Source organism: Homo sapiens, chromosome 3 (assembly GCF_000001405.40).
Source record: "Homo sapiens chromosome 3, GRCh38.p14 Primary Assembly".
Classification (NCBI taxonomy): Eukaryota; Metazoa; Chordata; class Mammalia; order Primates; family Hominidae; genus Homo; species Homo sapiens.
Genome location: NC_000003.12, coordinates 43,576,582 through 43,602,691, shown reverse-complemented (window position 1 = coordinate 43,602,691; position 26,110 = coordinate 43,576,582). Strand labels below are relative to the sequence as shown.

Below are 26,110 nucleotides of genomic sequence, written 5' to 3'. Positions count from 1 at the left end.
AATGCTCTTTTTCAAAACAAAATGTTGACAAATAGTTCTTCATAAAGGTTATACCAGGCCAGGCATAGTGGCTTATGCCTGTAATCCCAGCACTTTGGGAGGCCAAGGCGGGCGGATCACTTGAGGTCAGGAGTTTGAGACCAGCCTGGCTAACACAGTGAAACCCCATCTCTACTAAAAATATAAAAATTAGCTGGATGTGGTTGTGTGTGCCTGTATCTCAGTTATTTGGGAGACGGAAGCAGGAGAATCACTTGAACCCAGAGGTGGAGGTTGCAGTGAGCCAATATTGCACCATTGCACTCTAGCCTGGGCGACAGAGTGAGACACTGTCTCAAAATAAATAAATTAATTAATTAATAAAAAAAGGTTATGCCAGTTTCTATTCCACTAAAAATGGCTGGGATGCCTTTCCCCACACACTCACTGTGCCTATTTGGGTCTTCCAAACAAGAGATGGGATTTGATGAACAAGAAGTTTATTGAGAGAAATATTTGTGGAAAGAAGGAGGAGGGGGCAAGAGTGGGTCTAGAGAGCCTTCAGACTTTGTCAATTTGACACTTGGGAAAGGAGAGAGGAAAGGAAGGAGAATTGAGTAGGAAGAGCCTCAGACCACAGCCCAGTTCGGAGAAACTAACAGCCAGGCTTAAAGTTGCCCTTTAAAGGAAACTTAACGTTGTGCAGGAATGGCCTTGTTTCAGGTGTCCCCTCCGTGCCCAGCTGATGGCTGGAAGCAGCTGGGGGAAGGATCTTAAGGTGTGGCACCAGGAGCCTGGCGGTCAACCCTGTTCTTCAAAGCAGATTGTCTTGAAGGGAGAGCTGGTGGAGTGGGGTACCTTCACGGCTACCACGCTCACCAACCTATTACCAAACTTTCCATCTTTGCAGTGTGAGAAGTGAGAAACAGCATATTGGTATAGTTTTTACATTTGTCTTAATATGAGTGAGGTTAAGGATCTTATATTTAAGAGCCATTGGTATTTTCTGTAAATTGAATATACCTTTTACTAAAGTCTTTAATAGCTTTACTATAAATTACCTAGATGATAGTGTCTTAATATATTAATCCATTTGATAAAAGAAATATAAATTCTGCTCATGATCCTGTTATCATCTGATTAATATTTTCGTAATTCCTGTCAACCATCTCTAGAGGGTAAATAGTAAAGAAATAAATGTACCTTTAAAAGTTTGAGGCCGGGCGCTGTGGCTCATGCCTGTAATCCCAGCACTTGGGAGGCCAAAGCGGGTGAATCTCTTGAGCTCAGGAGTTCAAGACCAGCCTGGGCAACATGGTGAAACCCTGCCTCTACAAAAAATAGCTTGGTGTAGTGGCACACACCTGTAGTCCCAGCTACTCGAGAGGCAAAGGTGGGAGGATCTCCTGAACCTGGCAGGTGGAGGTTGCAGTGAGCCAAGATCGTGCCACCGTACTCCAACCTGGGCAATAGAGTGAGACCCTGTCTCAAAAACAAACAAAAATTGATGTAGGTAGAAATAATCTTTTTTCTTTATAATCTTTTAAGTAATAATTATATGTACATTATCAAATCATGATATCTCTTTATGTTTGGTAACTTATTTCAGAAAATTATTAAACCAAATAGAACATAGAAATTTATGGGAAAAATCACTGAAAAGTTATATTGCTTTTTGTTATTTAGTATTTAACATTCACAAAATCTGTTATAGTCCAGTGTAATTGTATTACATTTTTGGTTTTTCTTTTTACTGAAACATTTTGTTCCAAATTAATTTTCTTAAATTTTCGTCTATTTATATTAAACTGCAATCTTTGTTCTATATTTTTATTTGGTGCACTTTTATACCTAGAGCTCGGAAATATTGAATTCTCGTCTCATCTACTTCTCATTTGAATAAGTGGCAGGCTACTTAGTGGTACATTTTTCAGTTTTTCCATTTATTGAAAAACTATAAAGAACTGCCATCCCTAATGTACTTATGTTATTTACTTGGAAGATGGATTTAAATTGCTAATATAATTTCTTTTTCTTCTACCAGACTAGAAACATTATATTTATTTAGAAAGTTTTTAGTTTTGAAACTTTTATGTTTGTCTAAGATTGTGCTTATCTTTTGTTTTTGAAGGTGCCCAGTTGTTGTTTAGACCATTGTTAAATAAATATGAACAAGAAACACTAGAAAATCAGAACTTATATCTTGTTGGTGCCTCCAAGATTAGAATGTTACTAGGGGCAGAAGCAGTGGGATTGGTAAAAGAGTGCAATGATAACACCATGAGAGCCTTCACATACAGAACCAGACAGAACTTCAAAGGTTTTGATGGTAAGCCCTAAGTTCTTTGTCTCTGTTAGAATCCATTTATCAAAAAGAAGTTTATGATGAATAGATCAGGGATCAGCAAACTTTTTTCAGTAAAGGGTCAAATAGTAAATATTTTAGGTTTTGCAGTCCGTGTGGTCTCTGCTGCAATTACTCAACACTGCCATTGTGAAGCAAAAAAGCAGCCATAGACCATAAGTAAATGAATGGGCGAGGCTGTGTTCAATAAAACTGTATTTATAAAACCATGTGGCAGGCTGGATTTGGCCTGTTGCCATCCTTTGCCTCCCCTGGATGAACACAAATTAGAGGAACACATGTAACTTACTTATATTATTCTATTCTAATTCTTATAATTTGAGTATTCAGTAGCTTGATACAGAAAAATCCTTTTTTTTGAAAGCAGAATGATTGTCACCAATCAATTCTAAGTCAACAAAATACACCAAAAAAAGTATTATATTTTCTTTTTTTTTTTTTTGAGACAGAGTCTCGCTCTGTCGCCCAGGCTGGAGTGCAGTGGTGCTATCTCGGCTCACTGCAAGCTCCGCCTCTCGGGTTCACGCCATTCTCCTGCCTCAGCCTCCCAAGGAGCTGGGACTACAGGCGCCCGCCACCACACCTGGCTAATTTTTTTGTATTTTTAATAGAGACGGGGTTTCACCGTGTTAGCCAGGATGATTTCGATCTCCTGACCTCGTGTTCTGCCTGCCTCGGCCTCCCAAAGTGCTGAGATTACAGGCATGAGCCACCGCGCCTGGCCAAGTATTATATTTTCTAACTCTACAAGAAAACAATCATGTAAAAAGAAATTAACTATAAAAAGTTGCATCTCATAAGTAGAGATTATTTTCTACAAATAATCACATGTGAATATTTATTAGAAAAATTTTATAATAATAAGAAATACAGTAGTAGTTCAGTACCTTAGAAACCTCATTTCCTGAATTTTCTGGCTCCTGCTGAATGTGATAGGGTCGTTGGTTCTATACTGGCCCCAAAGCAGGTTCTAGTAGAGAATATTTTCAGGAAAGAACTGGGAAAGCCAGGGTGGATATGATAACAGGATGGGAGCTTGGCTTCAGAATCAAACTGATCCCTGCCAGGGCTTTCAGAGTTAGAAGATGTGATTAGACTTCTTTGGATTCACTTACTCTAGATTTTTATACCTGAGTGAATAAATGTTCAAGAGGAAATTTACCTTATTTAAGAGGTTTCACCTGTCAAATAGCAACAACATTTTCTTAAAAGACTTTCTTCTCTCTCATTAGTAGAAGGGATGTTTGACTGCAGAAGGGAATGGAATGGGCTTGAGAGTTTGAAGGAGGATAATTTGCCATATAGGCAAACTTCTTCAATTCCATCCCTGGTTTAACATAATAATACGTTAATAAGTTTAATGCATTATTAGAATAAAAGAACATACTGCTTTCTGCTCATTGGTACTAAATGAGATCAATTATATGCTTCTTGAATGTTTCTAATATAAGTATTAAAATGATTATTGTAGAATTGTATTACGTGAAGGCATAACAGAATTTTTTTATTCTTATAAAATATCTAAGGAGCTTTATGTTCTATTTAATTTACCAGCTTCATACTTTGATTACTTCTTATGTTAATTGCTTATTGTTTATACCATTATTTCTGTAATCTCAGGTAATTGGAATATTTTTATTTTGATTATTACTAAAATCTGGTAATTTCTGTTTTATTTTAGATAACAATGATGATTTCCTGACAATGGCAGAATGTCAATTCATTATCAAACATGAACTTGAAAATCTTAGAGCTAAAGATGAAAAAATGATCCCTGGTTACCCTCAGGCAAAGTTGTATCCAGGAAAATCATTGTGTAAGTCATTATGTCAACCAGTCTTTTTCTTAATAGACATAAATAGCAAATTATAGATGCCTTTTTTCCCTCTTACAGAAGAACTTACACAAACTTACAATAACTTGTATTTTTATGAACATATCTTTTCCCTTTGGAACCTCAGTATATTGCATCTTTAAATCAATATGTTTGTTTTATATTGTTGACTACTTATTTATCAAGGTCTCATACCATACAGTTAGCTTAAAATCCAGTGTGTATACATATACATATTACTCAATTAAAATGAGCAAAGTTTACTTTATGCCCTAACATTGTACATGAAAATCTGTGGAGGAATATAAAAGGGAAGACATGGTGTTTTCCTGGAGCACTCTTTCCATTTCCTCTGATCTCACTGGGTATGCAAATTAGAATTTTGCAACATTTTGGTTTTGTGTGATTTCATTTTAATGAAGATACTAGTTTGCAGAATGAAAGTTTACTACAATGCATAATTCCAAGTTTGCTTCAAACCCAGATAGTGGCAAAGCTTCAGAACATTTTTGCTGCCTAAAAGACACTTTAAACATGTAAGCTTCTGTGTCCCCTAGTCTGTTTTTTTTGTTGTTGTTGTTGTTTTGTTTGTTTTTTTGAGACAGTCTTGCTCTGTCACTCAGAATGGAGTGCAGTGGTGTGAACATGGCTCACTGTGGCCTCCATCTCCTGGGCTCAAATAATCTCCTGCCTTAGCCTCCCCAGTAGCTGGGACCACATGTTTACTTTTTAAAAATTTTTTATTTATTATTATTATACTTTAAGTTCTAGGGTACATGTGCACAATGTGCCAGTTTGTTACATATGTATACATGTGCCACGTTGGTGTGCTGCACCCATTAACTCATCATTTACATTAGGTATATCTCCTAATGCTATCCCTCCCCCATGCCCCCACCCTACAACAGGCCCCGGTGTGTGATGTTCCTCTTCCTGTGTCCATGTGTTCTCATTGTTCACCTCCCATCTATGAGTGAGAACATGCGGTGTTTGGTTTTCTGTCCTTGCGATAGTTTGCTGAGAATGATGGTTTCCAGCTTCATCCATGTCCCTACAAAGGACATGAACTCATCATTTTTTATGGCTGCATAGTATTCCATGGTGTATATGTGCCACATTTTCTTAATCCAGTCTATCACTGATAGACATTTGGGATGGTTCCAAGTCTTTGCTATTGTGAATAGTGCCACAATAAACATACGTGTGCATGTGTCTTTATAGCAGCATGATTTATAATCCTTCGGGTATATACCTAGTAATGGGATGGCTGGGTCAAATGGTATTTCTAGTTCTAGATCCTTGAGGAATCGCCACTGTCTTCCACAATGGTTGAACTAGTTTACCGTCCCACCAACAGTGTAAAAGTGTTCCTATTTCTCCACATCCTCTCCAGCACCTGTTGTTTCCTGACTTTTTAATGATCACCATTTTAACTGGTGTGAGATGGTATCTCATTGTGGTTTTGATTTGCATTTCTCTGATGGCCAGTGATGATGAGCATTTTTTCATGTGTCTGTTGGCTGCATAAATGTCTTCTTTTGAGAAATGTCTGTTCATATCCTTTGCCCACTTTTCGATGGGGTTGTTTGATTTTTTCTTGTAAATTTGTTTAAGTTCTTTGTAGATTCTGGATATTAGCCCTTTGTCAGATGGATAGATTGCAAAAATTTTCTCCCATTCTGTGGGTTGCCTGTTCACTCTGATGGTAATTTCTTTTGCTGTGCAGAAGCTCTTTGGTTTAATTAGATCCCATTTGTCAATTTTGGCTTTTGTTGCCATTGCTTTTGGTGTTTTAGACAGGAAGTCCTTGCCCATGCCTATGTCCTGAATGGTATTGCCTAGGTTTTCTTCTAGGGTTTTTAATGGTTTTCGGTCTGACATTAAGTCTTTAATCCATCTTGAATTAATTTTTGTATAAGGTGTAAGGAAGGGGTACAGTTTCAGCTTTCTATATATGGCTGGCCAGTTTTCCCAGCACCATTTATTAAATAGGGAATCCTTTCCCTATTTCTTGTTTTTGTCAGGTTTGTCAAAGGTCAGATGGTTGTAGGTGTGTGGCATTATTTCTGAGGGCTCTGTTCTGTTCCATTGGTCTATATTTCTGTTTTGGTACCAGTACCATGCTGTTTTGGTTACTGTAGCTTTGTAGTATAGTTTGAAGTCAGGTAGCGTGATGCCTCCAGCTTTGTTCTTTTGGCTTAGGATTGTCTTGGCAATGCGGGTTCTTTTTTGGTTCCATATGAACTTTAAAGTAGTTTTTTCCAATTCTGTGAAGAAAGTCATTGGTAGCTTGATGGGGATGGCATTGAATCTATAAATTACCTCGGGCAGTATGGCTATTTTCACGATATTGATTCTTCCTATCCATGAGCATGGAATGTTCTTCCATTTGTTTGTGTCCCCTTTTATTTCATTGAGCAGTGGTTTGTAATTCTCCTTGAAGAGGTCCTTCACATCCCTTGTAAGTTGTATTCCTAGGTTTTTTATTTTCTTTGAAGCAACTGTGAATGGGAGTTCACTCATGATTTGGCTCTCTGTTTCTCTGTTATTGCTGTATAGGAATGCTTGTGATTTTTGCACATTGATATTGTATCCTGAGACTTTGCTGAAGTTGCTTATCAGCTTAAGGAGATTTTTGGCTGAGACGATGGGGTTTTCTAAATATACAGTCATGTTATCTACAAACAGGGACAATTTGACTTCCTCTTTTCCTAATTGAATACCCTTTATTTCTTTCTCCTGCCTGATTGCCCTGGCCAGAACTTCCAACACTATGTTGAATAGGAGCAGTGAGAGAGGGCATTCCTCTCTTGGGCCAGTTTTCAAAGGGAATACTTACAGTTTTTGCCCATTCAGTATGATATTGGCTGTGGGTTTGTCATAAATAGCTCTTATTATTTTGAGATACATCCCATCAGTACCTAATTTATTGAGAGTTTTTAGCATGAAGCGCTGTTGAATTTTCTCGAAGGCCTTTTCTGCATCTACTGAGATAATCATGTGGTTTTTGTCTTTGGTTCTGTTTATACGATGGATTATGTTTATTGATTGGCATGTTGAACCATCCTTGCATCCCAGGGATGAAGCCCACTTGATCATGGTGGATAAGCTTTTTGATGTGCTGCTGGATTCACTTTGCCATTATTTTGTTGAGGATTTTTGCATTTATGTTCATCAGGGATATTGATCTAAAATTCTCTTTTTTTGTTGTGTCTCTGCCAGGCTTTGGTATCAGGATGATGCTGGCCTCATAAAATGAGTTAGGGAGGATTCCCTCTTTTTCTATTGATTGGAATAGTTTCAGAAGGAATGGTGCCAGCTCCTCTTTGTACCTCTGGTAGAATTCGGCTGTGAATCTGTCTGGTCCTGGACTTTTTTTGGTTGGTAGTCTCTTAATTGTTGCCTCAATTTCAGAGTCTGTTATTGGTCTATTCAGGGATTCACCTTCTTCCTGGTTTAGTCTTGGGAGGGTGTATGTGTCCAGGAATTTATCCATTTCTTCTAGATTTTCTAGTTTATTTGCGTAGAGTTGTTCATAGTATTCTCTGATGGTAATTTGTATTTCTGTGGGATCGGTGGTGATATCCCCTTTATCATTTTTTATTGTGTCTATTTGATTCTTCTCTCTTTTCTTCTTTATTAGTCTTGCTAGCGGTCTATCAATTTTGTTGATCTTTTCAAAAAACCAGCTCCTGGATTCATTGATTTTTTGAAGGGTTTTTTGTGTCTCTATCTCCTTCAGTTCTGCTCTGATCTTAGTTATTTCTTGCCTTCTGCTAGCTTTTGCATGTGTTTGCTCTTGCTTCTCTAGTTCTTTTAATTGTGATGTTAGGGTGTCAATTTTAGATCTTTTCCTGCTTTCTCTTGTGGGCATTTAGTGCTATAAATTTCCTTCTACACACTGCTTTAAATGTGTCCCAGAGATTCTGGTATGTTGTGTCTTTATTCTCATTGGTTTCAGAGAACACCTTTGTTTCTGCCTTCATTTCATTTTGTACCCAGTAGTCATTCAGGAGCAGGTTGTTCAGTTTCTATGTAGCTGAGCAGTTCTGAGTGAGTTTCTTAATCCTGAGTTCTAGTTTGATTGCACTGTGGTCTGAGAGACAGTTTTTTATAATTTCTGTTCTTTTTCATTTGCTGAGGAGTACTTTACTTCCGACTATGTGGTCAATTTTGGAATAAGTGTGATGTGGTGCTGAGAAGAATGTATATTCTGTTGATTTGGGGTGGAGAGTTCTGTAGATGTCTATTAGGTCCGCTTGGTGGAGAGCTGAGTTCAATTGCTGGATATCCTTGTTAACTTTCTGTCTCGTGGATCTGTCTAATGTTGACAGTGGGGTATTAAAGTCTCCCATTATTATTGTGTGGGAGTCTAAGTCTCTTTGTAGGTCTCTAAGGATTTGCTTTATGAATCTGGGTGCTCCTGTATTGGGTGCATATATATTTAGGATAGTTAGCTCTTCTTGTTGAATTGATCCCTTTACCATTATGTAATGGCCTTCTTTGTCTCTTCTGATCTTTGTTGGTTTAAAGTCTGTTTTATCAGAGACTAGGATTGCAACCCCTGCTTGTTTTTGTTTTCCATTTGCTTGGTAGATCCTCCTCCATCCCTTTATTTTGAGCCTATGTGTGTCTCTGCATGTGAGATGGGTCTCCTGAATACAGCATACTGATGGGTCTCGACTCTTTATCCAATTTGCCAGTCTGTGTCTTTTAATTGGAGCATTTAGCCCATTTACATTTAAGGTTAATATTGTTATGTGTGAATTTGATCCTGTCATTATGATGTTAGCTGGTTAGTTTGCTCGTTAGTTGATGCAGTTTCTTCCTAGCCTCGATGGTCTTTACAGTTGGGCATGTTTTTTGCAGTGGCTGGTACCGGTTGTTCCAATCCATGTTTAGTGCTTCCTTCAGGAGCCCTTTTAGGGCAGGCCTGGTGGTGACAAAATCTTTCAGCATTTGCTCGTCTGTAAAGTATTTTATTTGTCCTTCACTTATGAAGCTTAGTTTGTCTGGATATGAAATTCTGGGTTGAAAATTCTTTTCTTTAAGAATGTTGAATATTGGCCCCCACTCTCTTCTGGCTTGTAGAGTTTCTGCTGAGAGATCTGCTGTTAGTCTGATGGACTTCCCTTTGTGGGTAACCCGACCTTTCTCTCTGTCTACCCTTAACATTTTTTCCTTCATTTCAACTTTGGTGAATCTAACAATTATGTGTCTTGGAGTTGCTCTTCTTGAGGAGTATCTTTGTGGCGTTCTCTGTATTTCCTGTATTTGAATGTTGGCCTGCCTTGCTAGGTTGGGGAAGTTCTCTTGGATAATATCCTGAAGAGTGTTTCCAACTTGTTTCCATTCTCTCCGTCACTTTCAGGTACAGCAATCAGATGTAGATTTGGTCTTTTCACATAGTCCCATATGTTTTGGAGGATTTGTTCTTTTCTTTTTACTCTTTTTTCTCTAAACTTCTCTTCTTGCTTCATTTCATTCATTTGATCTTCAATCACTGATACCCTTTCTTCCAGTTGATCAAATCAGCTACTGAAGCTTGTGCATGCATCACGTAATTCTTGTGCCATGGTTTTCAGCTCTATCAGGTCATTTAAGGTCTTCTCTTCTCTATGCTATTTATTCTAGTTAGACATTCGTCCTATCTTTTTTGAAAGTTTTTAGCTTGTTTGCGATGGGTTCCAACATCCTCCTTTAGCTCGGAGAAGTTCGTTATTACCCATCTTCTGAAGCCTTCTTCTCTCAACTCGTCAAAGTCATTCTCTGTGCAGCTTTGTTCTGTTGCTGGCGAGGAGCTGCATTTCTTTGGAGGAGAAGAGGTGCTCTGATTTTTAGAATTTTCAGCTTTTCTGCTCTGGTTTCTCTCCATCTTTATGATTTTATCTATCTTTGGTCTTTGATCATGGTGATGTACAGATGGGGTTTTGGTGTGAATGTCTTTCTGTTTGTTAGTTTTCCTTCTAACAGTGAGGACCCTCAGCTGCAGGTCTGCTGGAGTTTGCTGGAGGTCCACTCCAGACCCTGTTTGCCTGGGTACCACCAGCGGAGGCTGCAGAACTGCAAATATTGCAGAATGGCAAATGTTGCAGCCTGATCGTTCCTCTGGAAGCTTTGTCTCAGAGGGGCACCCAGCCATACGAGGTGTCAGTTGGCCCCGACTGGGAGTTGCCTCCCAGTTAGGCTACTCGGTGGTCAGGGACCCACTTGAGGAGGCAGTCTGTCCGTTCTCAGATCTCCAGCTGCGTGCTGGGAGAACCACTACTCTCTTCAAAGCTGTCAGACAGGGACGTTTAAGTCTGCAGAAGTTTCTGCTGCCTTTTGTTCAGCTATGCCCTGCCCCCAGAGGTGGAGTCTACAGAGGCTGGCAGGCCTCCTTGAGCTGTGGTCGGCTCCACCCAGTTCGAGCTTCCAGGCTGCTTTGTTTACCTACTCAAGCTTCAGCAATGGCGGGCGCCCCTCCCCCAGCCTTGCTGCTGCCTTGCAGTTCGATCTCAGACTGCTGTGCTAGCAGTGAGCAAGGCTCCGTGGGCGTGGGACCCTCTGAGCCAGGCACAGGATATAATCTCCTGGTGTGCCGTTTGCTAAGACCATTGGAAAAGTGCAGTGTTAGGGTCAGGGTGACCCAATTTTCCAGGTGCCATCTGTCACGGCTTCCCTTGGCTAGGAAAGGGAATTCCCCGACCCCTTGTGCTTCCTGGGTGAGGTGATTCCTCGCCCTGCTTCGGCTCTGTCCGTGCGCTGCACCCACTGTCCTGCACCCACCGTCCAACGAGCCCCAGTGAGATGAACCTGGTACCTCAGTTGGAAATGCAGAAGTCACCTCTCTTCTGTGCCGCTCATGCTGGGAGCTGTAGACTGGAGCTTTTCCTATTCGGCCATCTTGGAACCTCTCATGGTTTACTTTTAATAGTGTAATACCACCTTCCAATCTTCATCCAGGTGCTACTGGTGGATCTTTGTTCTTAGAGCTCCCAGGATGGGGGCAGGCTGCTCCCAAGGTGGGGGCAAGTCTTTTGTTCTCTGACCTGGGGAGCCTCACGGATTCCAAGGAATGGATCCTTGGGCCATGCAGTGAGTGTTATAGCTCTATTATAAGCCGTGAGTCATGGAAGAGAACCGTGGAACCCAGCAACTAGTGTTCAGCTCCATTAGGATGAACCTGGGCACTTAGCTGCACAGGAACAATGGCGAGCTTCTAGCCCAATTGGGAGTGGCAATGGGTGCCTCACTGGACCAGAAGCGCAGCGGACACCCTGCCTGATCTGGAGGGATGGAAGTCAATGGTGGGTCTGCAACTGCGGCGAACAGCAGTGGTGGATGGTGAGCAAAAGCTCAGCTTGAGCCGGAGCAAACACGGACCAGAAGAATGTGCAGTTGCAAGATTTAATAGAGTGAAAACAGAGCTACCATATGATGGCAGGGGACCCAAAGGGGGTTGCCGCTCCCTGCTCAAATGCCTGGGTTTATATCCCGATCATTGTCCCTCCCCCTGTGCTCTCAGGCGACAGATGATTTGACTATTTCTTTACCTCCTGCTTTTAGCCTAATTGGTATTTTAGTGAGCCCTCTTTACTAACTGATGGGTTGGGTGTGAGTTGAGTTACAAGCCCCATGTTTAAAGGTGGGTGTGGTCACCTTCATAGCTAGGCTTAGGAATTCTTAGTCGGCCTAGGAAATCCAGCTAGTCCTATCTGTCACAGGCAGACAGATGCCCAAGAACCAGTTCATATTCACATTTTCCCAGTTGTCACCAAATATATTTTAGAGCTTGTTTGCTCAAACTGAGATCCAGTCTAGGTTAACCCATGTTGTTTGGTTATGTCTGTCTCTTTTAATATAGAATAGTTTCTCTTTTCCATTTTTTCCCTCATGGCATCAACTTGCTGAAGAGACCATGCCATTTGTCTCTTAGATCGTTTTCTCATTGTTCCCCTATCCTCTGTTTTTCCTGAAAACTGGAAAAATTTTTGGCAAGAATTCTTCTTAGGTGATGCTGTATCTTCTCTGGTCTTCCTGATTTCCTTAGACATGATGGGGAATAGAAGGCCTTCTGAGATTTTCTTTTATTTGCCTCTCTAGCTTCCTAACTCTCTAACTTCCTTCCTAACTTACTCTTTTGTGTTCAGAATTGTGCCTTACTTTTGACAGAGCTTTTTCAAATTCTAATCTTTCTCGACCTTCTTGCATTTTAGAGTATTTTCTTAGGATAAATTATTATTTTTACTTTATTTGTAAGTAAGATGTAGTATTTATTCTAGCCTACTGTGAACTGTATTCAGAGTTCCAATGAAAACAGGGTTTATCATCTGTACTGTGGACATCTAAATGATTCTTTTCAATTTGTATAACATATGGCAGGAAAATACTTCTCCCAAGCATCTTACAATTTTTGTGTTTATTTTCCATTAGTTTCTGTCAATTTAAAAAATAATACATGTATATGATGAAAATTCAAATAGTACAAAAATTTAGACAATGATAAGTTGTCTCTTTCCTGTCCCATGTTCCAAATCCCTTTGTTCCCTCCCTATTATATAACCTTAGAGAAATTCTGTTCAAGAGAAGACATGTTCAGACAAATGGGGAGTATATTGTGCATACCATTTTGGACCTTGCTTTTTTATTTAACAATATATTTTGATCATTATTGTAGAATACCAAATTAAGCCTAACTCATTCCTTTTCTAGGCCATGTAGTATTCCATCATATAGATGTCTTCATATTGATGAACATCTAATTGTTTTCCTTCAATGTTTTCATTAAAAATAAAGTAGGAAAATTCCCAGAAGTGAAATTGTTAGATCAAAGGTATATGCATCTTTTAGAGTAGATACTGCCAAATTGCTCTCTATAGTGATTGCTTCAATTAATTTATGTATTTATTTATTTATTTGAGACAGAGTCTTGCTCTGTTGCCCAGGCTGGAGTGCAGTGACATGATCTTGGCTCACTGCAACCTCCGCCTCCCAGGTTCAAGCAATTCTACTGTCTTAGGTTTCACCATGTTGCCCAGGGTGGTCTTGAACTCCTGACCTCAGATGATCCACCCGCCTCAGCCTCCCAAAGTGCTGGGATTACAGGTGTGAGCCACTGCGCCCAGCCGATTGCTTCAGTTCATAAAGGAATGCATGTTATATTGAGCATTCAGCATGATGTTGGCATTTGACTAGGTAATTTTTATCGTGTTTAGAAAACATTCATTTCTTCTACTTTATTAAGAAGTTTTTGTGTATAATGACATCTTTATTAAGATGTCATTATATTAATGACATCTGTGAAGACTATTTTTTTATAACCCCTGACATTATAAATATGGCAACCGATGTTAATAGAATTCCTAATATTAACTCATTCATTTATTCCCATGGTGAACCATACTTGCTTATATTATCTATTTTCCTGCTGACTTCCATTTAATATTTCATTATTTTTGCATCAGTATTCATATGACATGAGTACTTAGATTTCTTTTTTGTAGTATTTGACAGTTAATTTATATTACGTATACATTGTTAATTTTGTCATGTAGTTCTTGTGTCCCTTGTACTTTGTTTTCTTGATCCATCATAGCTCTAGATCTCTGTAACAACCATGAGAATTTCATTATGTTCCTGCCAATTTGTTCTTCGTATTTTCTTTTACCTTTGTTTTATGAATTTTGTAGCTATGTTTTGGCTGCATAAAGATCTTGGATAGATTTTTATTGTCTATTGCACCTTTTATCATTATGAAATATTATTCCTCATCTTGCTTAATGTTTTGTTGTTGCTGAATTCAGCCTTGTCTTGTGGTTCTTGCCTTATTTTAGTTTGCATCTGTTAGAATGTTTTTGCCCAGCCTTTTACTTTCAGCCCCTTTCAGTATCATTTTATGTGGGTCTCTTATATCAGGATATAGTCGGATTTTGCTTTGCACTCTAATCTGAGGATTTTTTTTTTTTTTACTAAGTAAATTTATACTAAGTAAAATATTTACTAAGTAAACTTAAATAAATGACATATTTTGTGCTATGTTATCATAGTTGATGTTACATTTTATGTTGAAATTGCTTTTTTGTGTGCTTAAAATATCTTTTATATAGGCTATGCCATCTTTTTTCCCATTTCAATGGAAAAGGCTAGGATATATATTTTTGAAAATCATGAATTTATATTGATATAGTCAATTCAAATTTAACAGTATAGGCTATTACTTAATTTCTTTGGTTTATATTTGTATCTTTTTACTCATATTGAAAATATTGATTCTTAATAACATTACCGTAATTACTAATTTGCTTTATTTTACAATTTACATAAAATAGCTTGTAAGGCATGCTAATTTTAATATTAACAATACAAGTTCTGGATGAAGTTTAAGATTTTCTGTTTTCTTTTTTGTTCTATTACTATGTGTAGTCAAAATCTAATCTGTTTTAAAAGTATGTTAGAATTTCTATATGAAACCATCTGGTTCTGATGTTTGTTTGTGGATTAGGTTTTTGGACAGTTTTCTCTAAGTGTTCTATGGAAATTGGTTTGTTTAGACTTTCTATCACTACTGGGGTCAGTTTGGGTAAATTATATTTTCCTAGAAAAGTTTCCATTTTATCACATAGGTTTTCAAATTTATGTGAGTTGATTTGTACAAATTTCTCTCAGCATCTTTTAAACTCCTGTTTTAATGGTATTTTTCCCTTGTCTTATTTGTGCTTGCTTTTTTTTTCTTGATTAAAAAAATTTTTCTCATTAACGTTTAAATATTGAGGATATTACTGTGTCACCCATTAGCAGGAGATCTTATGGGATGTCGGATCTTGATTCAGTAGGACTCTTAATCATGTTTTAACTTCCTTTCCTTCCCCATAAGCTGCTACCCCCAAAGTCTATTACTTTTCTAGACACTTCCCTTTGCATTTCCCAGAAGCAGTGCTTTACGGTCAGCTTGCCTCTTGTTCTGTGTACTTTCCAACCCTTCCCTTCAGCCCTTGCTGCTGTCAGAGCTATGATCCGTCAGGTCCCAGACTTGTTCTTGGAAGTTCCCACTTGGTGTGGGGCCTTCTCCTGAAGGAGGGTGATGAGTCCTCATTGGTGTTATCTGGGTTCCTACACCATATGGACTCCCCTGGCCTCCCCGTTTCTCTGTGCAGCTCCTGCTGGGACTTCCTGCACCATTCTAGACTGTGGCCCAGATCTCTTCCAGGTCTTGGTTCTTTATTGCCTGGCTTACATGTTGCAGTCTCCCCTGTCTCTGGGTTGTGCTGTAGGCATATGTTATAGGTACTTTTACTTGCTCTCCTTGTTGATCTGTATGGCTTTTAGGAGGTATCAGGAAGTTTGAATGTAGGCACTCTTGTTCTTATTTGTCTGCATTTCCAGTTATCTGCATATGTCTTGACGTTATTTTTTATCAAATTTTTTTTTGGTTGGACATAATGTTCTTTCAGTATACAGGGTAAGGATTACCATGATTTCAGGAAAAATTTCTTCAGTTATCTTTGAAGAGTTATTTGGTTGTGTTTGCTCTGTTCTCATCTTGAGGGGTGCCAATTTTATATATGTGGGCTCTTACATATTCTTTGTAGTATTTTCAAGTCTTTGTTCTTACATACTTTTCTTAGGCTTGTCTGCCAGTTTCCCGATTGTATTTTCAGTCTTTCCTTTTTTTGTTGCTTTTATCATGACTTTGAATCTGTAACAGATTTATTTTTCTCTTGCATTGCTTCTCTGAGCTCTCTCCTTCAGCTCTCAGAGGTCCTCTTTGAGTTTTAATTTCAAAGATGGAATGTTTGCATGAATTTCTTAAATTTCATGAAGAATTTCATGGTTTTTTGTTGCTGGATGCTATAATTTTCTGCTGTTTGTTCTTTGACTTTTGTTTATATATTTTTTCTTGTAGTATTTTTGGTTTTTCCCTTTTTTCCAGGCAGTATTTTTGCATAGCTCGATGCCAGTTTTCTTTGTGATTATTACTTATTTTTTATTACTTATGTTTTAATGAACCCTTATTTTTCCTGGACTGGCCATTTTTAGAAGAAAGTGTGTGTGGGAGAGAGAAGGGTCCTAGGGGCTTCCAGCAGGGAACTGTGGTAGTGAGAAGCTCAGATTTTACCTGGCAGTGCGTTCTCCTTGAGCCATTTTAGTCCCTGAAAAGAACCTCCATGGAGCCCTGTTCTTGCAGGGATTTTGTGTTTGGCATTTAGGCCTGTCTTTGGCCCACCAAGACCCACAGCTCCACAGCTAGTTACCTTCCATCCTTTGGTCCCAGCAGGTCACTCTTCCAACATGGCAGACTTGCTCTTCTTCCTCCAACCTGGCCTCTTATCTGGCTATGGTGCCAGGCAGGGAGCAGACGTACTCCAGGTGTCTGTCACGCACCCTCATTGCCTGCATTCTGAGCAAGGGGACTGTGGTTTACCATCCCCAGTTCCAGGAGAGCCTTGCCCTTTGTGTGCTTGGCCCAGGTTTGCAGAAGCATGGGTGCTCTTAGTTTACCCAGGGCTGATTTTCCAGGCCTCTTTTTATAGTTTGTGATTTGGAATTTTAGTTTGTTTTTTCATACTTGCATCAAAGTTAGGGATTTCTTTTTATGTTTCTTGTTTCCTTTTGTTTTTAATTTGGCATCATGAACAAGAACAGGGCAGAGGTATCTTTCTGCCACTATTTGTAACCAGGATTTCCACATTCTGTAGTTAAGCAGTTGTTTGATACTGTCCCAAAATTTTTGAATCTTTCTTAATCTCCTAGTGGGAAGGCATGTTTTCAGACACAGCTGGGTACTGCATCCAATAAAATACAAAGCAGACTGGGGCACAGTCCTGATTGCTAACGTAAGCATTCTGTTTCTCCCTTTTCATCCACATTGATAATGTGGAAATCACGGCTTCCACCTGTGAGTTTCTGCACAGGTACATTCTCTTGGATGTGGTTGGGACTGAGAAAAGAGTGTGTGTGCTCTTTGATCAGATGGGATAATGGAGCAGCAGTTTTTCAAATGCTTCCAGTTGCTTCAAAGAGAGAAATTTTAAGATGAATGAAAACCTTCAAGGAAATATGTAAATGGATTTCTCTAACTGTGTAGGTAGCCAGTCTGGTATCCTGAAGCAATAATAGAAATAACTTTCTTGCTGGCAGGATGAGGCTTTTGTAAACAAAGGTTGTTTTTTTTCCTTTCTTCCTCTCTTCTCCCTTCCCTTTCCTTCCGTTTTGGTACTAAATATGAATACAATAAAATCATTTTGATCATGGTCATTGGAAAGATTTTTATACTATTTGAGATAAGAATTAAGTTGTCAACCCTGGGATTTTAAATGCTGCATTATTCTGTTCTTTTATGCCTTTGAGAGTGTGATCCTTAAACTGCTGTGTTTTTTGCATCATTTTAATTTTATAATACTTGGTTGAAGAAAAGTGGTATATGCATAATTAAAACTATGACCTATTTTCAGAGTGCAAATTTTAGAACTAATAAAACTTAGAGTAACTTAAATACTAGATTTTCATTAAGTTAAACCATAGAAATAAGAGGAAAAGCTATTTTCATCTTACTTGAAGGCAGCTGCTCCCCTGGGCAGTCTCTTTGAGGCTAATTGAGAGGAGAGGCTTTAGTCTGCCCAATGTGATACCCCTCAAGACTGAAAGGTGGCCAGGGCTTTCATGAGAAACACTCCCCAGATCTTACGTTTAATTTGATTTTCATTTTACACACGCGTGTAAAGTTGCTTGCTGCTTGCTGTAATGTTGTGTTTTGATAGAACGCTTTCATTAAGTAGATACCAAGTTTTGTCACGTAAACATGATTTCGAAGCAGTTAGATGGCGCTGTGAGATGTGCATTGTAGGTCCATGACTATGCCAAATGTTATGCTTGGGGTCAGGTTCCAGCTCATGCTGAGGTCCAAAGGGAGTGGGTGGATGAGCCGATAGCTGAAGGGGGTCCGTAGGCAGGTGAAAGGTAGTTTTATTCAGCAGCTCTCTCATCAGCAGCTTACTTACACTAGCTCTCTCACACTGTTCGCCCTGTCTCAGCTGCTTAGTCCGGTGGCTCCCATACACAGCTGCGTGGTCGGCTCTCCCTTCAGGGTCAGCAGCCTAACTCTCTCTCTGGGTATGAGTGAGCCGAGCCGTGTCCTGGCTTCCCACTGTCCATCTATTAAAGCCACATTATGGCTACATGGCTATGATAACAAGTGGAGTTATATGCCTGTGCTCTAAACTTGCTGAGTCACTCTGGATGTTTACCTTGGGCTATCCTCAACCAAAGCACAGCCATGTTCCTTACATGCATATTGGGGTTCCCCCTCATTCCACCACATGACAAGCAACATGGAGAATTAGTAATTGGCTACATGTGTCTTAGTCCTCAAGCATTCATCTTGACAGCCATTCATTTCCTGTTTTCATGTGGTCTAAGATCTTTTCATGCCCTCAGACTCTGCCTTCTCCTAGTGCTTAACAGTCAATCATCATGCAAATAACCTAATGAAAGAGTTTTAGAAAGAGGAGTTTTTAAGGGATCCAAGGTTTCTTAACATTTTAACCATATCCTAAGGGATATTACTTGATTTAGATCAAAGCTGTGTCTCAAAATGTCTATTGGATGATTATCATGTTTTGATTGATGGGACCACCTGGCACATATATTATGTCTTTAATATTATATAGATATTCTTTTAGAACCTTATGATAGCATTTTCTTTAAGAAAGATACTGTTTTCTTTATTAAGACAAAAGTGATCTGTTCACACCTGAGTGCTAGAGTTAGAGTACTAGGTGCAGCAGCAGCTGTGGGGACAGGGACTGTCTTCATCGTGCAAAGGCTGCTGGCCACCACTTCCTGCGGGCATCTGTGCTTATCACCCCCTGCTGGATCGGAGGTAGCATGACCTGCTCCTCTCTGTCCCACAGAAATGCTGTAAGGCGTTATGAGAGGGATTTTGCTTTTACTTTTGAAGTAAACACATCACATAAACCAAAGACAGAAGCAGTACTGTGTTAGTATTGTTATTGCATTAGTTAATTTGGAGGGTCCTACTGTAAACTACATTACTGATAGTCTCTCTTAAACTAGATTTTGATTTGTTTGGCTCACGGTTCAATGGCTATTACAGCCATATCCCCAGTACTTGATAAGAGATCATTCAGCACTCTTGAAGGAAGGAATCTGGCTTAAGTTTTTGCTTTCTTTAAATAGGCCCACATGGCATCATGGTTTCCTTTGAAGGTAAGGCTCCTTCCTAGTAATTACATTCTTAACTGACATGAGAAGTTTGAAGGATTAAAAAAAAAAAACCAAAAAGCAAACTTCTATTTTTAGAAGCTGAAAACAGAACCATGACTTTGGCACTGATGAAGAGAAGATCAGTAATTTAGGACCTGCAGCTTTATATTCTCTCTGAGTCTTCAGTTCACAGTCCTATTTTTAGAAACTGGTTTTTATGCCTGCCTGGGAAGTCTTCTACAGTAGAATGGAGTCATCTTTGTAAAGAGAACTTAGAAATAGTAAAATAATTTATATGCTGTAAGTCAGTTCCGTTAAAAAACTTGATGTAGTAATTTACAAGAGTAGTGATAGGAAGAAGGAATCAGCTGTAGCCTGTACATCCCCAAATAAGGAATAAGAATCAGAACAGTCATGTGTGATCAACTCTAACTCTTCTAAGCTGAAGAAAAATCCACTGAACCATGTTAGAATTAAAATATTAAAAAATGGATTCGACAGTACCAGAGGCTGAGTAACTTCAACCATGTCTTTTTACCCTAGTTACTGATACTTTGAGTATATACTTTTTTACAATCATGAAGGAGAATTTTATCACAAACCTAGCTTTTAAAAACTTTTCTCCTCGTGTAACTTATGAAAATATAATTGTGGGAAGAAACATATATGAAGAATCTTTTTTTTCAGACTTTTCCTATTGTTAGTACCAGATATCTCTTGATTATCTTTTTCTTTTTCATGTCTAAGAAGTTGGGTTTACTTTTAAGTTACTCTGAAGATTTTATGATGGGGACCTGTCCTAAGAATACATTGTCTCTATGTAGTGTTTCTACACTGAAAACTTTGTGTTTCTTTTTTTTTTTGAGACGGAGTCTCGCTCTGTCACCCAGGCTGGAGTGCAATGGTGTGATCTCACTGCAAGCTCTGCCTCCTGGGTTCATGCCATTCTCCTGTCTCAGCTTCCCGAGTAGCTGGGACTACAGGCGCCCGCCACCACGCCCGGCTAATTTTTTTGTATTTTTAGTAGAGATGGGGTTTCACGGTGTTCGGCAGGATGGTCTCGATCTCCTGACCTTGTGATCCACCCGCCTTGGCCTCCCAAAGTGCTGGGATTACAGGTGTGAGCCACCGCGCCCAGCCAAAAACTTTGTGTTTCTATTCCACACTGCAGACATTTATTTGCCAGTCCTCAATAAGGGGTTTTATGCCTGATATTTTTATCATCTGTCTCTGGTAACAGGTAGATAAGAGATAAGAGAGGTAGCTCTCTGAAGACTTGAGCTGATAAACCTTAAAGAAGCTCAAAACTTATCAATGGATGAAAACAGCAAAGCATCCTTTCTTAATGCAAATTTTATCTTTTTTTTTTTTCTTTTTTTTTTTCGAGATGAGGTCTTGCTCTGTTGCCCAGGCCGGACTGCAGTGGCATTATCATAGCTCACTGTAGCCTTGAACTCCTGGACTCCAGCCATCCTCCCACCTCAGCCTCCTGAGTAGCTAGGACTACAGGCTAGCTACTCACCACCACGCTCAGCTAATTTTTAAATTTTTTGTAGAGATGGAGGTCTTGTGATGGTACCTGGGCTGGTTTTGAACTCCTGACCTCAAGCAATACTCCGCCTCAGCCTCCTAAAGTGCTGGAATTATGGGTGTGAGTCACTGTGCCTGGCCAAATTTCATTTTATAAGCAACCATATTCTTAGTAAGAGACTGTATTAGGAACTCATGTGGAAAATATTCCATCTCCCCAAATATGGCACAAGGCACTGCATTTGAGTTCTCCATATCTACAGAACACACTTCCTCTTAAAGATCTGAAGACACTCTTCTCCACCCACTGAGTCATTCTAAGTAATTACTGTGGATGACAGAATTCCAAATTTTCATTTAATATTGCTGGGAGATACGGTCTTTGGTTAAATTCATTTGTCTCTTCCAGATATATGCATGAGTGTTCAAACCATACTAGTCAAATGACTGCTAAAAGTAGGAAGTCTTAATTTGATTTTGTTATTTGCTATTTGTGAGTGTAAGCTTTTGTTATCAGATTAGAAGAGATGAAAAGGATTGAAAATACTCTGTATCAACAAGAATGAAAAGAACTGAACATTTTCTTACCTTCACTGTAGTGGAAGGACAGATTGGTAAATTTTTTCTGGAGACAATTTTATAATATGTATCAAATATTAAAATACTATGCCCTTGGACCTAGCAGTTCCCCCTCTAAGTATATTTACTAAGGAAATAGTAGACAGGTAGGGAAAGGTATTTGTACAAATTTTAGCATTATTTACAATAGCAAAAGGAAACATATTTTTAAATAGAAGATTAGTTGAATTACAGCATTTCATACAAGGGAATATTATGGTATTGTTAAAAGGACATTTCATATTCTATTTTTACTGGCATCAAAAAATATTCACTGTATACTACTACATGAGAAAAGATTATGAAACAACATAGTGTGTATAAAATGATTTTATTTTTGTTCTTAAAATATATATGGATATATTTTTATGTCTGGTTATACACTATATTGCTTTTTACAGTGGTTATTTTCAAGGGGAAAGAGAGACTAACGGGCCTCTCATAGTCTTAATTTTTACACTTCTATATGGTTTAAAATTTTATATTTACTTTTTTGCTTCATAGTCAAAGAGAATAGTAAAGATATTTACATTCTGAAAAATGAAAGAATATACAGGTTTGGAGTAGGCAGTATGACATTGACCTTTGCGTTGTACTCCTCTGTGGAGTGTCCTTATAGTATTTGCTGAAGCGTATCATGCACAATCTCCAGTCCATTTCATGCAGTTTGGCACATTTTCCCTGTGCAGTGAGAAGATTGCTCACGTCTGGCATCGTGATTCAGGTGTTTCCACTGCATGACAGTGAAGCCCTGAAGAAGCTTGAGGACACCTGGTACACTCGGTTTGCTTTGAAGTATCAGCCCATAGGTATGTGTCAGTACTTGTTCTCTTAAAGAAGAGGAAGGCCTCTGATGAAAAGTTACGATCTAGCAGTGGAGTCAGCTCCCTTGGGCAGATATTTAGTGCTCTACTGGGCAGGGATCACCAGCTACATGTGGGAAAACATTTTGATGGAGGGAATAAGATAGGTTAGATGACCCCTTTTTTCTTTTTTTAAACTTTTTTTTTTTTTTTTTTGAGATAGGGTCTCACTATGTCACAGGCTGGAGTGCAGTGGGATGATCACAGCTTACTGCAGCCTTGACCTTCCAGACTTAATCAATCCTCCCATCTCAGCCTTCTGAGTAGCTGAGATCACAGGCGTGCACCACCATCCCCAGCTAATTTTTTGTAAAGACGGGGTTTTGCCGTGTTGCTCAGGCTGATCTTGAACTCATGCTCAAGCGATCCTTGTGCCTTGGGCTCCCAAAGTGTTGGGATTATGGGTCTGAGCTATTGTGCCTTGCATTTTTTGATGTTCTAATACTACCATAGATCAGTGGAATCACAGGCTTTTACTACCCTTCACCAACAACACAGACAGTTCAGAGTGGCCTTCCTGAATGTGTGTCAGAGTTGGAACCAAACAAGTTTTTTTGTTTTTGTTTTAGTTTTTGTTTTGAGATGGAGTTTCACTCTTGTTGCCCAGGCTAGAGTGCAATGGTACAATCTCACCTCACTGCAACCTCCACCTCCCAGGTTGAAGCAATTCTCCTGCCTCAGCCTCCCATGTAGCTGGGATTACAGGCATGTGCCACCATGCCTGGCTAATTTTTTGTATTTTTGGTAGAGATGGGGTTTCACCATGTTGGCCAGGCTAGTTTCGAACTCCTGACCTTAGGTGATCCACCCACCTTGGCCTCCCAAAGTGCTGGAATTACAGGTGTGAGCCACCGTGCCCAGCCTCAGACAAGTTTTAATAAGAATTTAGTTTGACTATAAATGACTATTTTGTATTTGAAAATTTCTATTTTTGAGGAGCCAGTTATTTAGAATGAAACAAGCTATGCCACACTTAGGGCAACTAGCAGGCCAAACATCTTTTGAGGTGATTTGTAATTACCTTGGCATGCATTACTGGATCTGTCAATTTTCTTTGAATATAATTATAAGAATAATTATTAATTTATTTGGTATGTGCTGGACATTATTTAAAATTTTGTCAATATGGATGTTCAAATATTTTAGTCTGGTTATGTTTTTTAAGCTGGTAGATTTCACCTTTGCATTACTATCATTTTTTTTTCTTTAAAGGACATTTTCCTTTTGGTTTTGTTTAATGGTATCCTAAAATAATTTTCTTTCTGTTTTCTATTTCTGAAAACAACTATTATATAATGTTTTACCAAACAAAAATTGTTGTAAGATCAAACCCTAAATTACATTTTGAATTTTGTTTATATTCTCTGAAAGGAAAAGTTTTGTTATTGTTAATTCCAGGTCATACAATAGTCATTTTATATTACACTTAACAACTGTTTAACTTTGTTTTGGCATTTAAGTGGCAGGAAATTTGAATATTGCCTCTAGGACTTGTAAAGTGACTATCTGTTAGCTACTCCTTTTTTTTTTTTTTTTTTTTTTTTTTTTTGAGATGGAGTCTTGCTCTGTGGCCCATGCCGGAGTGCAATGGTGTGATCTCAGTTCACTGCAATCTCCACTTCCCAGGTTCAAGTGATTTTCCTGCCTCAGCCTCCTGAGTAGCTGGGACTACAGGTACACACCACCATGCCCGGCTAATTTTTGTATTTTTGGTAGAGACGGGGTTTCCCCATGTTGGCCAGGCTGGTCTTGAACTCCTGACCTCAGGTGATTCGCCCGCCTTGGCCTCCCAAAGTGCTGGGATTATAGGTGTGAGCCACTGCTCCCGGCCTCTGTTAGCTACTTCTTAGAAAGTAAGGGGAGAAAGTGAGTCGATGGTGAAGGCTAGGCATGGGGTGGTAGTGGATTTGGGGTCGCTGGGGACTGAGACTGGTGATAGCATCTGGGACATAGGTGGATCTTGAGGCTCCTTGAGATTGAAAGGGGAAGGTCATCTGCTGTGGAGCCAAGTGTCATGAGCATCTTTTAAAAAGAAATGATCGGATGTTCTTTAACCTGATTTAAATTTGAGGTGAAATCATACCTACTGTTTTCATTTGCTCTTGGGTTAGGGGGAAGAATTAAGGATAGGAGAAAATAGCCTATCTCAGTTCATTCTAACTCATTTTTGTAGACTGCTCAAATTATCTTAAGAAAAATATGTTAACTGTGTATTATTAACTAAGAAATAATAACACCAACTGTCACACTTCCTCTCACCCCCTGCTTCCCACCCTGGTCCTGGTACAAGATGCTCTTATGATCCAAGCACTCCCCATGTGGATGAGGCTGGCAAAGGATGCAGTGTTGGTGACCCCTCTAGAGTCATTTAGCTTGTGTTGAGTTCACAGAACATTAGCAGTCATGTTGCTTGGACCTTCTTCTGCCCAGTGCATATATGAAAGTGTTGATAAATGTGTTCCATGGCTGTTCTGGAAGTTTATGTGTAGAATCCTGTTTTGTGCTTTTGAATAATTTTTCTTTAGTGTATTGAAAAATCTTCCATAACACATTGATGAAAGTTTATGTCTCTGGGTAGGGAAGAGCAGAATTTTGTGGATGGGGAGTCTTCGTCAAAAAGAACATTTATAACACTAAGTGGGAGAAAAGTGGGGAGCATAAATTAAACCCCCAAATTAATGTTCAGTGGACATGGCTGAACTTAAATTAGGACCTTGGAGATTTTGGGTAAGCTACAAGATGAGTTTTCCTTTGGGAAGAAGGTATCCATCAGGTGAGGGGAAACAGAGTCCAGGCACCTGGCGGAGCACACCCCCCAGCTAAGGCCTGGCCCCTAACCTGGGGGAAATGTTGGACCTGCCATGCAGACAAGCAGGGTCTTTATACTGCATGGAGGGTAGATTTACCACCACACGCTGTTTGGGAAGTGAGGGTTGAATGATCCCCACTTAACTAAAAAATGAATAAGCGTACTTGAAATGATTTTTTAAAGTGTTTGGTAGTCTATACTTATGTTCTTTCTTTGTTTCCACTATAGACAGTATTCGTGGCTACTTTGGGGAAACAATTGCTCTGTACTTTGGATTTTTGGAGTATTTCACTTTTGCATTAATCCCCATGGCTGTCATTGGGTTACCTTACTACTTGTTTGTGTGGGAAGACTATGACAAGTACGTGATCTTTGCCTCGTTCAACCTCATCTGGTCCACGGTGATTCTGGAACTGTGGAAGCGTGGCTGTGCCAACATGACCTACAGGTGGGGGACACTGCTCATGAAGAGAAAGTTTGAGGAGCCCCGGCCAGGATTTCATGGTGTCTTGGGTATCAATTCCATCACTGGGAAGGAGGAGCCTCTGTACCCCAGCTACAAGAGACAGTTGCGCATTTACCTGGTCTCCCTGCCATTCGTGTGCCTCTGCCTCTATTTCTCACTGTATGTCATGATGATTTACTTCGACATGGAGGTTTGGGCCTTGGGTCTACATGAGAACAGCGGGTCTGAGTGGACCAGTGTCCTGTTGTATGTGCCCAGCATCATCTATGCCATTGTGATTGAGATCATGAATCGTCTCTATCGATATGCTGCCGAGTTTTTAACTTCATGGGGTAAGACTTGAGGCTTTATATTCACGTCTTACTTGCCTGTAAGAAATGTTGCCTAGATCATGGGATTCACATAGCTGCTACCTTGCAGAGAAAATAGATGTTGCTCTTGG

The 26,110-nt window shown here is 39.3% G+C and overlaps 1 protein-coding gene across 25 annotated transcripts in view; it reads left to right on the top strand.

Moving 5' to 3' along the window:
• The window catches only part of ANO10 (anoctamin 10), a 325,747-nt gene that overhangs the window by 88,903 nt on the left and 210,734 nt on the right, over positions 1–26,110 (top strand). For 17 of the 25 annotated variants that reach the window (NM_001346468.2, NM_001346465.2, NM_001204831.3 and 14 more), the window contains exons 3-6: positions 2,111–2,308; positions 4,026–4,160; positions 22,220–22,339; positions 25,431–26,000. In NM_001346468.2, coding sequence (NP_001333397.1) covers positions 2,111–2,308; positions 4,026–4,160; positions 22,220–22,339; positions 25,431–26,000 — 1,023 coding nt within the window. The remainder of the gene's footprint in view (positions 1–2,110; positions 2,309–4,025; positions 4,161–22,219; positions 22,340–25,430; positions 26,001–26,110) is intronic. The other 8 variants (NM_001346469.2, NM_001204832.3, NM_001346466.2 and 5 more) reach the window with 3 other exon arrangements.